Source organism: Homo sapiens, chromosome 15 (assembly GCF_000001405.40).
Source record: "Homo sapiens chromosome 15, GRCh38.p14 Primary Assembly".
NCBI lineage: Eukaryota > Metazoa > Chordata > Mammalia > Primates > Hominidae > Homo > Homo sapiens.
Window position 1 is genome coordinate 69,007,595 of NC_000015.10, and position 18,009 is coordinate 69,025,603.

Genomic DNA, 18,009 nt, shown 5'->3' on the forward strand with positions numbered 1-18,009 from the left:
AGGCTTGATTCTGCCTCATAGCTGCTAGTCTAGGCACTGAGAACATGTTCCCAGGCCTGTTAGATATGAGTTCTAAATTTCTTTTCAGAGAATTAATATGTCAATATGTTAAATTCTTTGCCTTCTACTTTTAAACTTAACTTCCTCATAAAGCAATCTTTTTCAATCACCTACTCCACCCTGACTCATTCCAATCACCTGCTCCACCCTAACTCATTCTGATTATCTGCTACCTGCTCTGCCCTGACTCCTGCCAAAGCACTCACCCCATCATTCTCTTTAAATTAGCCAATCGGAATTAGTTTAGCCTGTGCAGTCTAACCCTAGCCAATAGGGGAACAACACAGCAGCAGGGGTCATGTGCATCAGGGATAAGAACCCCTTCCCCTCCCTTGTCTGAGTGTGCACTCACCATTTTTCCATCTGTAAGGGCGCACCTTTCTATATAGAAGTACCTTGCCTTGCTGAGAATTAAAAAGAAAATTTTATATTTGAGTGCTATTCCTTTTGTGGCTCCAAAACTTTATATATAAACAGGCCTCACCATGATGACCTATTCAGAATCCAGGTGTTTAAAACTCAAAATATAAGCTCAAAGTCAAATCAAACAAATATCAAAAATATTACAGAAGCAGTAGTATTATGACCTTAAAACATGTAACAAAGGCAGCATAAGCCTGTCTGACCAGTAAACCCAGGCAAAAATGTCTGAATTATATTTAACTGATAATTTTGGAGCCATTTCTATTTTACTAACATTTAAAATCTAGCTTTATTTATCAAATATTATCATATACACATGCCACATAGTGACATATAGTCATACAAACACAAACAGAAGCAGATCTTATAGTTTTTATAAGTAATTCTTACTTGCCAGCTTTTAGTTTTTGTCCCCATTTAGACTGTTAATCTTTTAATTACTTGTTTTATTGCCCTAAGCAATTGTTAGCTATGCAACAATTTGCCTTTTAAAAAGATGACTCAACAGGTTAAACAAGGTAGAAAATGTATATCTCAAAAGAATAGAGCTAAGACCTGTTCTTAGCTCTGTTTGGGCCTAAATATTGTACCATCATTTGCTTAAACCAAGGAAAAAAGGTTGCATGTAAAGGCCCAGTTAAGACAAGATGGCCAGGATAGGCGCCGTAACAAAGACCTGTCATGTAAATTTCAAACAATGGTAACAGTTTCTAGTGACCCAGGCCTCCCTCTCAGACACCTTTACAAATGGAAATTTCCTTCATAGATTTAAATTTCTCCTATAAAAGTGTTTACAGATAGCCAGTTAAATGCCAGAAATATGTATTTTAGTTCAATAGGTGATCTTTTAAACTTAGCTGTTGTTAGCTAAAATTACTGAGTTTAGGGTGGAGTCCATTAAGAAATAGGGCATAGAAATCATTCTCTATCCCTGGACTCAGCATGGATAGATCGGGAAAAGAAGTGAGCCTACTTTACACCTGTGCACATATCGTTTATAAACACTTTATTCAGAATAGCTTTTTTCTGAGCCAGAGTCTTGCTCTGTCTCCCAGGCTGGAGTGCAGTGACACAATCTTGGTTCACTGCAACTTCCGCTTCCCAGGTTCAAGCAGTTCTCCTGCCTCAGCCTCCCGAGTAGCTGGGATTACAGGCATATGCCACCATGCCTGGCTAATTTTTGTATTTTTAGTAGAGATGGGGTTTCACCATGTTGGCCAGGCTGGTCTCAAACTCCTGACCTCAGGTGATCCACCTGCCTCAGCCTCCCAAAGTGCTGGGATTACAGGCATGAGCTACTGCACCCGGCCAGAATAGTTTCTTTTTTTTTTCACCTTCAGCTGTTTCAGAATTCTTGGAAAGCTATTTGGCTATGTCAAAAGGCTTCAGAAAGTTAATACTTCCTGGTTTTGTTGTATTAATACATTGTGCAACCATCACTACCATCTATCTTCAGAACTTTTTTCGTCTTGCAAAACTGAAACTGTATGATTAAGCCGTAACTCCCCATTCCCCTCTTCCCTCGGCCTCTGGTAAGCACCATTCTACTTTCTGTGTCTATGAATTTGACTCCTCCAGGTACCTCATGTAATTGGAATCATACAATATCTTTTCGTGACTGGCTGTTTCACTTCAGTGCTGCCCATCTTATAAGTTCTTATTATTTTTTTAATGCATGTTTTTCTTTCCTTTCTTTTTTGAGGATTCTAAACATGCTTAAAGTCTATGATTTTCACTTCTTAAAGTATGAGTTCTTCTCCCTATTTTTGGTTTGATTGGCTGTCTTTCTTAGCATTCTTGATATTCTTTTTCAGATCTTTTGGAATGCCAGCTTACTGGTTCACCTTGAATGGTAATTGTGTGAGTGCATGTGTGGGTATGCATGCGTGCATGTGTGTGTGGAGGCATGTGCATGTTAGTGTTCAGTCCTCATCTAAAAGTTTTGCGGTAGCTTTCACCCCACTTCCTGGGCTCCCTAGTTCAATTCTGGCTTTGTATTGGTGTCTCAAGGCTCCTGTCCATGGAAATCCTGAGGCTATTGTGGGTCCAATCACCAAGGAGCAGTTGGCCTAGTCTACTTCTTCACTATCAGGCTTTGTGAATTTCTTCTTCTCTCCTAGATACAAGATATAAATCATTGTCCCAACAATGGCCAGTCCTAGCTCTTTTCAGTGCTCTGCCATAGGCAGGGTCCCCTCTGTGGAGGGTGCATGGCAATATATTCAAGCTTATGTACAAGGCATTTGAGGTCGAGGAATGGAAAAGTACCGAGGCACTGTGTGCATGTTGTTTGTGCATGCGACTGAAACTCCTTGACCCTGAAAACAGGGCAAGGAAAGGAATGTGTAGTAAGGAGCGCTGAAAACAGCCTCCTGAGACTATGGTCTATGTGTATTTCCAAGGCCATATGTGCCTCATGGCCCAACTGCAAAGAGCCGCCTGGTGGATGCCTTTTGTTTGAATTGTAGTTTAAACAAGCTCTCTCAATAAATATTCGGTGGACAGACCTTGGAGCGGCACTCTCTCAGAGGAGCTGCTCCCCGCCCTGCTCAGCTGGAATTGTCTGAGTACTTCATTCTTGGCACTCACTGCAGCCACAAGCTGCACCCTCAGATGAGGGGTTCACATCCCTTCACCTGCAGCAGCCTCTACTTGCCTCTGGACTTGGAGCTGCGCAGAACTGTAGCTTCAGTTTCACTTGCCATTGCATATTTCTGCCTTATCTCTGGTCAATAGAGATGTTTATCTGTTTTTCAAGAGCAGGCAGTCTTTTAAACCGGGCGCGGTGGCTCACACCTGTAATCCCAGCACTTTGGGAGGCCAAGGCAGGTGGATCACCTGAGGTCAGGAGTTAGAGACCAGCCTGGCCAATATGATGAAACCCCATCTCTACTAAAAATTCAAAGAATTAGCTGAGAGTGGTGGCAGGCACCTGTAATCCCAGCTACTCGGGAGACTGAGGCAGGAGGGTCGTTTGAACCCCAGAAGTGGAGGTTGCAGTGAGTCGAGATCACACCACTGCACTCCAGCCTGGGCAACAAGAGCCAAACTCCATCTGAAAAAAAAAAAAAGACTTTATCTCTCATCGCTTTGTGTATGGCACAGATGGGGAGGTCTCAAAGGGTGAACTCAGAGTAAACTTGATGCATCTCAACCAGAAGTCCCGAGTGACCACTTCTTACTTTTCTGGCTCCAGCTTGTGGGTGTGAAGGAAGGGACATTAGCATGGATGTACCCCTTTGGCTGACTGCAGGGTCTCAGGCTCCCTCAGCCAACTGTCAGTTCTCCCCAGCTATTTCCTGGGTAGGCACCTCACAGGCACTCACAAGCCGGCCACTCACATCCAGTCACTCTGACAGCCTTTGGAGGGGATCTCTTCTTCCATTGTCCCATAGTTTGTGTCTCTTTGGAAAGCACCTCCCAGTGCAGGGGCTCTCCCCTGGGCCTCCAAAATTCACGACCCCTGAATAACCAAATAATACCAGAACCACACCAAATTCCCTGCAAAATTAGGGAGAGCCCCCCACCTTCTTTCTTCAGGGTCTCAGATCAGAGTTCCAGGGCAAAGCTGGAGAAGAGACTCACACTCTCCCTTGTTCCCCAGGAACTATCTGAAGCCCCCCAATCCAACTTCCTCCTTAGTGGCAAATCGGCCTCAACAAGGCAAACTAGCTCAGGCAAGTGAGCTTGTCAGACACAACCCCACTCTGAATCCCACGCTGGGCTACCTTCTGCATGCAACTGGAAATAAACAAACATTCCATTTTAGCAGTGATTTTAATCTGGGCAAGTGGATTACACCGATTTTTACTCTTTTTTTGTGCTTTTAGGCTTTTTTTCTAATTTTTAAATAATAATAATTATTATTTTTTAAAATCAAGATGGGGTCTCACTCTGTCACCCAGGCTGGAGTGCAGTGGTGTGATCTTGGCTCACTGCAGCCTCTGCCTCCTGGGCTCAAGCGATCCTCCCATCTCAGCCTCCTGAGTAGCTGGGACTATAGGTGCACACCACCACACCCAGCTAATGTTTTTGTATTTTTGGTGGAGATGGGTTTTCGCCATGTTGCCCAGGCTGGTCTCGAATTCCTGAGCTCAAGTGATCCACAAACCTTGGCCTAATAATTAATGTTTATAATTTGTGTAATTATAAAAAAGTGTCATTGAGAGAAAAAAATCTCTCCTTCCAAAAGTTTTGTTAGAAAAAAGACGCTTTTAAAAATACATTTTCTGGCGAGGTGCGGTGGCTTACACCTGTAGTCCCAGCACTTTGGGAGGCTGAAGCAGGTGTATCACTTGAGGTCAGGAGTTCGAGACCAGTCTGCCCAACATGGTGAAACCCCACCTGTACTAAAAATACAAAAATTGGCTGGGCCTGGTGGTGCATGCCTGTAATCCCAGCTACTAGGGAGGCTGAGGCAGGAAAATCACTTGAGTCCAGGACACGGAGGTTGCAGTAAGCCAAGATCATGCCACTGCACTCCAGCCTGGGCAACAGAGTGAGACTTCGTCTCAAAAAAAAAAAAAATTTTTTTTCATGTTTATTACTTCCCTTTAAAAACTTGCATTTTGTCCAGATACTAGGATATGAACTAGATTGTTGTCAGAACTTTGGCAAGTATTGATGTGTTGCTCCATTGCTTAGCATTGCTTACTGGCTTCCTAGCTCCTAGGTAATCCTAGGCCTTTAGCTCTCTTCCTGCCAAATTTGTCATGACCTGACTCCTGCTCCCTGCTCCAGTTCTGCTTTCAAATGTGTGCGTCTCCAGGTCATTACCTGAACTGCTTATAGTTCCCAGGACACAGAATGCATTCTCATTTCATGCCTTTCTACACGATCTTCTAGCTGCCCAGAATGTCCTTTTCCGTTTCCACCTGGCAAACTCCTACTCATGTTCTAAAACCCACTACAGATCAGTCACTTTCACTGGGAAGTCTCCTCGGTTCTCCCTTCCCAATGCTGTCTCACAACACACTTCTGTATCTTCATTTACCATGCTGGATTATCTTACTTGTCTCTGTGTATACAATCAGGGCCTGGATATAGTGTTTCCTAAGTATTTGTTGAATTGAGGCAGGTTTATTCATTCCACAAACATACATGGAATGCCCATGATATAGTGAGCACTGTGCTAGTTTCCTGGGATTCAAAACTAATGAGGCACAGATCTTGCCTTTAGGGGCTCACAGTCCAGAGGGACAGAAAGAGACACACACAGATAGTTACAATTACAGTGGGTACCGGCAGCTCTGTCTCACATCTTCTCATTCTTGCTTTTTTCCCTTAACTGGCCATAACTTGAAAGTATAATTCATATTTACTGCTTGGCTTATTTCCTCAAAAGAATTTTCTGTTTCCTACATATTATTCCTGAACTGATTTAATGAAATGTGTTTGTATTTCTCTCTTTACTTTGCCAGGAAAACTATTGAAACAGTCAAAGTAGCCTCCAAAATTGCTGCTCTCCAGGCATGGGAGCACCCCATTTCCAGAGATTACCAAAAGATCACTGAAATTCTGTAGAACTTGTCTTGGGACTGGCCCCAAACAAATGAGAACTGGCTGAATCTGTGGGTAGAAAAATATGTGAGTGACAGCAAAGAGGCTTCCAGTGAGCCCCTGCTGGTTCAGAAGACTTGACATGGCCAGCACCAAAGGATCCCTTTAGGGTACCCCCACCATGAGCCACATACTGGGAGAAATTTCTTGTAGCACTCTGCTTTAAAACAAAACCATAATGATAACTAATCATTTCCCTGATTTTGGAAATTAACCAGAGACATCTAAAATCACCACTAGGACATCCCAATCTGCACCAGATGGCCAGGGTTATCAGCCAAAGCTGATCTCTTTCCAGGCAAAACAAAAAGTATAAACACTTTGAATTTTAATCGCAGAGCAGTATTACCTAAGTAATTATACAATTTCCCTTAAGTTTAAAACAAAATAGCTTGCAGGTCCCACTTTTTTCCCTAGGCTCTATGGGCTAGGAACCTCTGCAGGTGACTGTTTCAATATAGTTGTACACAATATGTTGAGACTGAGTATAGCTCCATGGGTGGTTAACTATACAATCTCCACAGTCAGCCCAATGTAGTTGTAAAATTTGTGCTGAGCCCACTGGACACATTACTTCACCTCTCTGTTTCACTTCCCTAATCAATAGAATGATGCCAACACCCACCAGATAGGGCTGTGTTACGAATTAAACTGAGCAATACGTGCAAAGTTCTTAGCACAGTGCATGGCTCAGAGTAAGTGCTTAAACATTTTTGTTGATAATTGATATTATTGTTATTGGCGAAGTCTTGCTTGACTTATAAGCAGGGCCTGCCTGGAGTTGTTGGTGATTTTTTTCACAGTATGTTCCTAGATAACCTAGCTTCACCATAGTATTTTTGAGGAAAGGAAAGAGAAGATACTGGGCCAGATGGAAGACAGCTCATCCTTCCTAATAAAACTCTTGCCCCATTGCATTCCATGCTTCCTGGTTGGGATTTTTCTAGACCAACTCAGCCACCAGTTTTATGAGGGACTGTGGGTGTGAGCAGGTCTTTAGGAGTCAGGAAGAGGAGGAGTCAGGGGGGTGGCTACACAGTGCAGGCAGCTCAATGGACAGCAGTCTTTCTGGGACCTGTGATCTAGAAGACAGGAGAAGATGAACACATCTGGAGACCCAGCCCAGACGGGCCCTGAAGGCTGTAGAGGGTGAGTGGCTCATTTGTCCAGCTTTCCATGCCAGGGACAAGGGAAAGGTGGGATTATTTGCCTTTGTGGGATCTACAAAAGGTAACTGTGTCTGCCTTGGGCAGAAATCAGAAGATCTGAGCTCTATTCTTGCCTTGCTACTAGCAAGCTGGGCAATCTTGGATAAGTCACCAGCCCTCTCTGGGTCTGTTTTCTCATCTGTAAAATAAAGAACTGGCCAAGTCAGTGTAATAGCAATACCCAGCATTTGTACAATGCTTTCCAGTTGTACTTTTCCAAACAGCATCTCATTTGGTCCTCATAGCCCTTTGTTGGAGAGATGCTTGTGGGCTGGTCATTCAGCTGGTGCAAAGCAAGGCTGGACCTAAAATCCTGGTCTCCTGGGGTAAATTCTGGCCTCTGGTGAGCACATTGTTCCCCTTGAGCTCTGAAATCTGAAGATTCCCGCTCCTTCCTGCTACCTACAGTGTTACCTTCCTTCCCACCCTATTCCCTCACCACCTAGATCACTCTGGCTGTCCCAGTCTCTTCTCAGCCCCTTCCCAGAGTTACCTCTCCCCTTGCACAGGCCCACCACACTGATCTTGTTTCTGAAAAGTGGGAGGTGAACAGCAGATACCTCCTCCCTGCCTTCCCTGCGTTAGCACTTGCATGCAGCCCTTTTTCCAGAATTCTCTCTGCTTTGTGGAATGCCTTCCCGAGGGTCCCGAGAGATGAAGAAAGTGGAGGCTGTTTAACCCCTAGGGCAGCATTTCTCCAGGTGCATGGGTGGGTCACCCATGCGTGGGTCACAAGATCCGGGGTGCAGGTGAAATGTGCAGATTCCTGCCTCCTCCCCACCAAGGTTGGCGAGTCAGAATGCACATTTTTACAAACTCTCATGTTTCTGGCAAGAACATATTGCAGTTTGGGAACCACTAGTCATTAGGTGAGTGCTCTTTTGGGCCGTGGAGGGCTGCCTTGAAACCACCAAAGGGTGGCTATAAGTCAGTGGGAGGTGTGAATGTCTTTGGGGGGGCAGTGATGGGAAGGCGGCTTCAGCTCAGGGACATGAGAAGCAGGCACTCGAAGCTTGGAGTCTGCACAGGCAGTGAACGCCCATCAGTGAAGGTCGAAGCAGAGTCATTGTTGGGTCGGGGGTGGGGAGAAGTGTGTGGGGCTGGGCCCAGGACAGTGGTTCTCTGGGGCTGGTGTGAAAAAACCTAGGAAGCTCTTAAAAGAGGCTCCTTGGCTGATGTTGAAGCCACGAGGGATGAGAAGGTCTGATGCGAAGCTCTCTTCCTCTTTTCCAGCTGTGGGCTGCTTCTGGTACACAGGGATAGTAATAATACCTACCTCACTGGGCTGCACCAAAGACAGAAGGGGCCAATATACTAAATAAAGTGGCTGGCACACTGGAGGGCCTGGAGCCCCTGCCTTGGGAGCGTGCAGGAGCTGGCCTATCTCAGTGGGAGGCTGGGTGGGGGCATTGCCCTGGCCCTTGACACTCCCAGCTACAGGTTCTCTCCATGCCTCATCTCACCCCCCTCCTCCACAGTGAGTTGGGCCCTGGGAGCTTTGGACTGGCCTCTGGCAGGGGCTGCCTGGAGCACCCTCCTTGCTGCCTGCAGCTCCAGTGACTTACTAGGACCACACATTTATAGGCGAGGAGAGAGTGAGAACCTAGACAGGTGGTCCGCAAGAAGAACCTGAGGAGTCTGAAGCCTGGGACTTAGGCCTGGCTCTGCCCCAAGTCAATGCAGGGGCCCTGAGAGGACATCTGTCTGTGCTCCCTGTGGGAAATGGGAATCCATCTAGGACTTGCTGACTTGGAAAGTGACGTGAGTTAATAGGCATGAAAAAGAGAAGAGAAAGGTGTACATACCTAATCATCATGTGCTAGACAGACATCCTATGCCCTGTCACAACTCTGCAAGGTGAGCTATCACTAACGCTTTTAATAAATGAGGAAACTGAAGCATGCATGCACACACACACATACACACACACACTAAAGCATATATGACATATGCATATATATATATACATACATACATACACACACTAAAACATATATTTGTAAACCAAAAATAAAAATCTAATCCCCTCAGCCATCTGAATGGACCCCTCCTCTCAGCAAAGGGCATTCCAAAGTTAGCCTGAAAAACTAGTTCAGGCCATCATGGGAAGGAGGGACCAGACATGCCTCATTATACTCTCCTCCCTTGTGGGATTACTGATAGAACAGACCCTTTAAGTCTGATGAGAAACATTTATACTCTATTGTCTTTGAAGCCTGCTACCTGGAGGCTTTACCTGAATGACGAAACCTTGGTCTCCATAACCCCTTATTTTAACATAGAAATTTCTAAGTATTTATTTATTTATTTATTTATTTATTTTCTGAGACAGAGCCTCACTCTGTCACCCAGGCTGGAGTGCAGTGGCGTGATCTTGGCTCACTACAACCTCCACCTCCTGGGCTCAAGCAGTTCTCATGCCTCAGCCTCCCAAGTAGTTGGGATTACAGGTGCATGCCACCACACCAGGCTAATTTTTGTATTTTTAGTAGAAATGGGGTTTTGCCATGTTGAACAGGCTGGTCTCGAACTCCTGACCTCAAGTGATCCATCTGCCTCGGCCCCCCAAAGTACTGGGATTACAGGCATGAGCCACTGCGGCCGGCCAGACGTTCCTAAGTCTTTAGACAAAAACTTAATTCTTTTAACCAATTGCCAATCAGAAAAATCTTTGAATCTACCTACGACCCGGAAGCCCCTGCTTCCAGCTGTCCCACCTTTCCGGACAGAACCAATGTACAACTTACATGTATTGATTGATGTTTTATGTCTTGCTAAAATGTACAAAACCAAGTTGTGACCCAACAGCCTTGGGTATATGTTCTCAGGATAGCTTGAGGGCTGTGTCACAGGCCATTGGTCACTCGTATTTGGCTCAGAGTAAGTATCTTCAAGTATTTTATAGTTTGACTCTTTGTTGATATATTTTATACACACACACACACACACACACACACACTCAAATACATGCCACACATATATAGCATAAGACACATGCCTATAAAGAGGTCAAACAGAGAAACAGAGGTCAAATAACTGGCACAGGATCACCCAGCAGGCACGAGGCACTTTAGAAAACCATGGAAGTGCTGTCTGAGGGTTTCTTTTCACTCAGTAATACCAGCGGCTCTGAGAATGCTTGCTAGAATTCACACTCCCAGGGCCCAAACCTCAGAGCTTCTGGTCCTGAAGATCTGGGGCTGCAGAGAATGTGCACTTTCAACTCTTGAGATGATGCAATTGTGGGCGGTCCATGGACCGGACCGCACTCATGGAGCCCCAGAGGCGCCGGTTGCTCAGGCATCCTAGGGAAACTCCAACTCCCATTTGGGTTTCAGAGAAAGAGGAACAAGCAGCAGGTGGGATTCCTAGGGATTGGCAGGGAGAATGGGCAAGGAGGCTGCAGGGCCAGGCCTGGGGACCGGGTACTTGCTCAGGCAGGTGAGAGGCAGCTGGCGGAGTTGGTGTGAGCCAGCAACAGACTCTTTAAGTCTGATAAGAAACATTTACACTCTGTTGTCTTTGAAGCCTGCTACGTGGAGGCTTTACCTGAATGATGAAAGCTTGGTCTCCATAAGCCCTTATTTTAACCTAGAAAACGCTGCTCTGATAGGGAATTACAGTTAGCTGGGACACAACCTAGGGAGATGCTGACAGTGCACCTCTCCCACCAAGTGAGGACCACCCCCACCCCCACCCCCACAAGACTCTTTTGTGTTACTGGACGCCCAAAGCTGGGAACCGTGCTTCAGAGGGCGGATTCTCATCTGATCAGTGGGCTGTACCTGTTGAGCCACTTGCCTCACAGGTGTGTTCTGGGATGAGGTTGTGCCGTGTAAAATGTTTGTTTTACTAAGGTATTAATTTGCTGGGGGATAAGAGGCCAGTAACACCCTTGATATCACCTTTTGGAGAAGCTGCCCTGGGGAGCCACATCCCGGGCCAGAGCTCACTGATGGCACAGGATTAAAGGTCAGGGGATGGAGAGGGATTTTTTGTTTGCTCTATTCTATTCTATTTTATATTTTATTATGTTATAAGGGATGGGTTCTCTGTTGCCCAGGCTGGAGTGCAATGGTGTGATTAAAGTTCACTTTAGCTTCGACCTTCTAGGCTCAAGCCATCCTCCCACCTCAGCTGCTAGAGTAGCTGGGATCACAGGTGCATGCTATCATGCCTGGCTAATTTTTTAAATTTTTGTAGAGATGAGGTTTCACTATGTTGCGCAGGCTGGTCTCAAACTCCTTAACTCAAGCAGTCCTCCTGCCTCAGCCTCCCAGTGTATTAGGATTACAGGCATGAGCCACCACCCCCGGCCTTGCTTGCTTTTTAATTGTCATACCCGGCAGTAACGAGGTACTCCCTCCTCCTCCCGACTGGGATGGTCAGAGGAGGCCCAGTGGAGAGTCAGGACTTTGCCCACTGCCCACCTGCCATGGAAGGGGGCAGGGAGGGATGTAGGTGTGGCTGTGAACCGGCAACTTGAGAGAGTCTTGTGGTGGAAAGTTCTGTATCTTGACTCTATCAATGTCAGTATCCTCTTTGTGATATTGTACTACAATTTTGTGAGATATTACAATTGGGAGAAACGGAATAAAGAAATCTCTACATTATGGCTCATACCTGTATGTGAATCCATAATTATCTCAAAATGAAGAGTTTTCAAAGATTATCACAAGAATGGTGTATGCTCATGGATACCATCAGATCAATCATACTGAGGCGTAAAGCAATACAGAACTGAAATCCTCTTTCTCCCCTCCAGTCCTGCCTCTTTAAGGACCAGTGCTGACAGCCTGATGATTCCCTTCCACACAGTGCTACTGTATTTATTCAAATCAATTCACACCTATTATAGATAACGTGGGCGGGCTTAGCTGTTTTGAATGGCAATCTAGTACACAGTGGTGGATGATGGATATGGGCCATTATGCAGTAACACTTTTATTTTTGTAGGATACATTCCTAAAAATTGAATTGCCTGAAAGATAGTACAATTCATGTTCTCACCAGCACTGTTTATATTGGATATTACCAATCTTTTGATTTTTGGCATTCTGATACCACTTCCCCCAACTACAAAAGATATAATTGTTATAAATCCCATTTCCCCAGGCATGAGAAGTGAATTGAACATCTTTTCAAATGTTTATCAACCAATATAAGTTCTCTCTTATGAATTGTCCTTTTATATCTTTTGCTACTTTCCATTGCTGGTTTCTGTTTGTTTGTTTTTGCTTCTGTCAAACCTATAGGACTTCTATGTTAAAAGAACACTAACACAGCTGCAATTTATCAATACCTAATAAAAGCATTTACTGTTATTGTTGCCCTTTTAGTTGTTGTTATTTTATAACAGGTGTGACCATTCCATCATGCTTATTGCAAATATTTTCCTTCAGCCTATTGCCTTTTGAATTTGTTGTCTTCTGTCATGCAGAAATTAATTTTTACATATGCAGATCTACAGATCATTTTCCTTAATGTTTTTGGGATCCCTATCTTGTGCCCCTACTTAAAGATGATACAAATTTCCTATAATTTCTGCTAATTCTCATTATTTTATTTATTTTTACATTTAGGCATTTATAATTTGATCAGAAAATGTAAATAAAATAGTATACTGTAGTTATCTAATTATTTTATTCTGTGTAGACATTTTGCCAAAAGCATTTATTTAATTATCCAACTTTTAATAACAATTATAAATACAATTTTTTAAAATTTCCATTTGTAACTGCTTTGGCTAATAAGATAGATGGTAAAGATGTAAATAAATATGAATATATATATATAGATATCAATTTTTATATGCATATAAATATAGATAGATATAGATCATTGATTTTGGTCTGTTTCCCTTGAGCCCAGAAACTAGCCATCACTAATACCTAGTATTTGGAGATTGAATTTAATGCATTAAACTAGAGAAACTAAATAAACATTGCAAATATCATAGAACAAGAGAGAAAATTACTAGTTTGTAAACTAGGTAATTTCCTCCCATTTTTCTTATAGTTTTAATTAAGAATGAATTTTGAACTTTATCAGGTGCTTCCTTAGCATTTATTGACATAATAAAAACTATTTTTCTTCTTTAATTTGTTGATATCAAAAATTACGTTGATAGGCGTCTTAATAATGAACCATCCTTACATTACTAAACTAAGTTCTAACTAACTAATTAGGTTCTAACTAACTAAACTAAGGTTGGGTTTGTTTTTTTTTTAAAGTGACCTTCTAGATTTAATTCAGTTATATTTTAGTTAAAGCTTTGTATAAGTTAAACTTGTATAGAATTTCCTTTTCATATGCTCTTTTCATTGGATTTGGGTAAAGCTTGCTTTGTAAAATGAATTGGGAATCTTACTATCTCTTTCTATGATCTAAGATGGTTTACCATTGGGTTTATCATTCTTTGAAGATTAGATAGAACTCAGCTCTAAAAACAAGCTGGCCCTGACATTATTTTCAATGGTTGACATTTAACTGCCCTTTTGAATTCTTTTTTTTTTTTTTTTTGAGACAGCATCTGTGATCTCAACTCACTGCAACCTCTGCCTCCTGGGTTCAAGTGATTCTCCTGCCTCAGCCTCCCCAGTAGCTGGGACTACAGGCATGTGCCACCACGCCCAGCTAATTTTTGTATTTTTAGTAGAGATGGGGTTTCACCATGTTGGCCAGGATGGTCTCAATCTCTTGACCTCATGATCCACCTGCCTTGGCCTCCCAAAGTGCTGGGATTATAGGTGTGAGCCACCGCACCTAGCCTAACTGTCATTTTGAATTCTTAAATAATTATTGGTCCATTCAGATTGTTACCTTCTTTGGGAGCTAATTCATTTCTCTTAAATCCACCAAACATTTGCACACAGTACTCTTGTATTTCAGTAGCCCTTTCCTTATCTGTAATTCTATTGCCTTTCTCAGTATTAATGTATATTTGGGGGTTTTATTCTCTCTTTTATCCTTAATCATGCTTTTCTTCTTAGTTTTTTAAAAGAACCAACTTGTTTTTCACTATATTGAGGCATAAATGATGTGCCATAATCTGCATATTTAAAATGGATATTTTGACATGGAAGGTGGCAGCCTAGAGAGGAGCCTGGGAGAATTTGTGAAAGCTCTTCATGATTTAGAAAGCACAGTGCACATGCTTGGTGGCATTATTAAGTGGAAGCTGCTTCTTTAGGGTTTGTTTGGAAGGTCCAGCTGACTCATCTCAACATTTATATCAATGATTGTCAGTGTTCTGCCTCTGAGCACATGGATCCTGAGATTGGAAACTTTGGTTAAACCCAAGTGCTATTAAGCAGAGTGAGTAAATAGTGAAAGCCATTTGCGCTGAGAGTGTGTGTCTGGAAAGAAAGGCAGAAACTCTCCAGATGTCTTCCAATAATGTCGAAGTTTTTATCCCAATGTCACAAGGAAACACCAATGGCTTACCCAAGGTGACCTCAAAGACCTGAAAGCATTTACTGAAAGAGCTGTGCTTTCATAACATCTGTTATCAAGAAAAAGTGAAGAGCAGCTTTCTACATGGTCAAAAACCAGTTGAGAAAGAAATACAATTGAATATCAATGGGATCGTGAAACCTGGCCTCAATGCCATTCTGGGACCCGCAAGTGGAGGCATTATTAGATGTCTTAGTTTCAAGGAAAGACCCACATGTATTATCTGGAGATGTTCTGATAAACACAGCACCTCAACCTGCCAATTTCAAATGTAATTCAGGTTACATGGTACAGGATGATGTCATGATGAGTACCCCAACAGTGAGAGAACATTTACAGTTCTCAGAAGCTCTTCAGCTTCCAACAACTGTGATGAATTGTGAAAAAAAAATGAATAGATAAATATGGTCATTCAAGAGTTAGGTCTGGATAAAGCAGCAGATTTCAAGGTTAGAATTCAATTCATCTGCAGTGTGTCAGAAGGAAAAAGAAACAGGACTAATATAGGAATGGAGCCTATTACTGATCCTCTCATCTTGTTCCTGGATGAGCCCACAACTGGACTGGACTCAAGCACAGCAAATGCTGACCTTTTTGCTCCTGAAAAGGATGTCTAAGTAGGGACGAACAATCATCTTCTTCCCATTCACCAGCCTTGGTATTCCATCTTCAAGTTGTTTGATAGCCTCACCTTAATGGCCTCACAAAGAGGAATGTTCCATGGGCCTGCTTAAGAGGGCTTGGGGTACTTTGCATCAACTGGTTACCACTGTGAGTTCAATAATAACCCTGCAGACTTCTTCCTGGGTGTCATTAATGGAGATTCACTGCTGTGGTATTAAACAGAGAGGAAGAAGACTGAAGCCACGGAGACTGTAGAGACCGCTAAGAGAGATAAGTCACTCACAGAAAAATTAGCTGAGTTTTATGTCAACTCCTCCTTCAACAGAGAAACAAAAGCTGAATTAGATCAACTCTCAGAGGGTAAGAAAAAGAAGAGGATCTCAGCTTTCAAGATCACCTAATGCCACTTCATTCTCTCAGATGGGTTTCCATGCATTTATTCAAAAACCTGCTGGGTAAATCCCAGGCCTCTATAGCTCAGGTAATTGTCACAACCATACTGAGGCTGATTATAGGTGCCATTTACTTTGGGCTAAAAAATGATTCTACTGAAATCCCGAATAGAGCCAGGGTTGTCTTCTTGACCACCAGCTGGTGTTTCAGCAGTGTGTCGGTCATAGAGCTCTTTGTGCTAGAGAAGATCTTTATACACAAATATATTAGTGGATACTACAGAGTGTCATCTTATTTCTTTGGAAAACTGTTATCTAATTTACTACCAGGAAGATGTTACCAAGCATTATATTTACCTCTATAATAATACGTGCATTATAAAAATAATGCTGTATAATAATCCTAATCTTGTTAGGATTAAAGACAAAGGTGGACACCTTCATCATCATGATGTTTTCCCTCATGATGGTGACTTATTTAGCACTGGCCATAGCAGCAGGTCAGTGTGGTTTCCATAGCAATGCTTCTCCTGACCATCTCTTTTGTATTTATAATGGTTTTTTCAGGTCTATTAGTAAATCTCGCAACCATTGCATCTTGGCTGTTATGGTTTAAGTACTTCAGCATTCCAGTTTTACAGCTTTGCTGCCTAACGAATTTTTGGAACAAAACTTCTGCCCAGGACTCCGTGAAATAGTAAACAATACTGTGGCTCCCCAATATGTACTGGCAAGGAATATTTGATAAACCAGCCATCAATGTCTTACCCTGGGGCTTGTGGAAGAATCATATAACCGTGGCTTGTATGGTTATCTTCCTGATTTGCCTACCTAAAATTGTTATTTCTTTTAAAATATTCTTACATTTCCCTTTAATTTACTATGATGTGTCCTCACATAAAAAATGAGACCATAATTTTTAAAAAATAAAAAGGAAAAGAATAATTTGATGAGTGTCGAGAGACAGTACAGCCCTGTTACACATGGTTTCACTTTCTATGGTTTGTTGCCCATGGTCAACCAAGGTCAAAAATACCCAATGAAAAATTCTAGAATCAACAGTTCATAGGTTTTAAATTGCAGCCATTCTGAGTAGCCTGATGAAATCTTGAGCCTTTCTGCTCTGTCCCACCTTGGTTCAGTGAATCCACACTATACACGCTGCCCATCCCTCAGTCACTTAGTCGCTGTCTCGGTTATCAGATCCACAGATCTCAAGAAGAAGAAGGGTTAGTACAGTAAAACCACATATTTTCAGAGAGACCACATTTACTTAACTTGTATTACAGTATATTGTTATATATTGTTATAATTGTTCTATTTTATTACTAGTTATTGTTAATTTCTTACTGTAGCTAATTTACAAATTAAACTTTATCATAAGTATGTATTATATAGGAAACACATAGTCTATATAGGGTTTGCTACTATTTGCAGTTTCAGGCATCCACTAAGGGGCTTAAAAAGTATCCCCCCACAGATAAGGGAGAAGTATTATATGCATACATCTGTAAAACCATTTCCATAATTGAAATAAATGTATCATTTTGACTTTTTTTGGTTTTCTAATACCTTAATTTCTGACTTTATATTTAGTAGTATGTACTTACATGTGTGTGATATGTATTTCATTCTTTGTCTAGTTGCTTATGTGAAAACTATTACATTTATTTTTAATATTTATTTAGTCTTTAAAAATAAAATCAATTCTCATTTATGTTCTATAAAGTCACTGCAAACGCTGAATTAGCGAATTCAGAACCATTGTTCTTAGAAGGAAATATAGAGTTAGGCTCATGTGAGCCTCAGGGCACAATATTTTTGTCAAACGATCAATAAGTTGCCTTGTTTTATGTGTGTTTCTATTTAAAGACACCTTTAAAATATGTATTGTTGATTCGTTGACATTGAACTCATGGCCAACAGCACTGTCACTTGTTCCTGAATGAAGCTTTCCTAACACGTATTTCCTCCATACTGCACAGTACAGCCTTTGCTCGCTTAGAAATGCTAGAGAGCACCGCAACATTATGGTTGGGAGCCGTTTTAAACAGTGAAAACACCAACAAAAAGCACAAAAATGTGAAAAATGTAGTACTAGATAGATCATGAAAAGGACACTCACTGTCTGAGAGCTGAAACAAGAAGGCAGGCATCGTCGCCTTGCTCAGCCTCAGTGGGGAGCAAGCCATTGGGTGACTCAGTTTCCACTGCTCTGTGCATGTCCACAGATGACTACGGATGGGCTGTGAGTACTGATTCAGGGGTTACACATCAATTTTAGGAAG

At 42.4% G+C, this 18,009-nt stretch overlaps 2 protein-coding genes and 1 pseudogene across 5 annotated transcripts in view, besides 1 other annotated feature; all 3 read left to right on the plus strand.

Moving 5' to 3' along the window:
* SPESP1-NOX5 (SPESP1-NOX5 readthrough) overlaps window positions 1-18,009 on the plus strand; it is a 132,238-nt gene that overhangs the window by 77,070 nt on the left and 37,159 nt on the right. The gene's annotated exons all lie outside the window — the stretch shown is intronic.
* NOX5 (NADPH oxidase 5) overlaps window positions 7,101-18,009 on the plus strand; it is a 48,068-nt gene continuing 37,159 nt past the window's right edge. For both annotated transcript variants that reach the window (NM_024505.4, NM_001184779.2), the window contains exon 1: window positions 7,101-7,191. In NM_024505.4, coding sequence (NP_078781.3) covers window positions 7,142-7,191 — 50 coding nt within the window. In that variant the 5' untranslated portion in view covers window positions 7,101-7,141. The remainder of the gene's footprint in view (window positions 7,192-18,009) is intronic.
* Window positions 8,208-8,709: an enhancer, noted in NCBI's record as "H3K4me1 hESC enhancer chr15:69308141-69308642 (GRCh37/hg19 assembly coordinates)". NCBI's record gives its function as "activates a minimal SCP1, AML or CMV promoter by ChIP-STARR-seq in naive and primed H9 embryonic stem cells {active_cell/tissue: H9 hESC(naive and primed)}" and the evidence as "EXISTENCE:reporter gene assay evidence [ECO:0000049][PMID:30033119]".
* LOC100422194 (ATP binding cassette subfamily G member 2 (JR blood group) pseudogene) lies at window positions 14,615-16,085 on the plus strand (annotated as a pseudogene).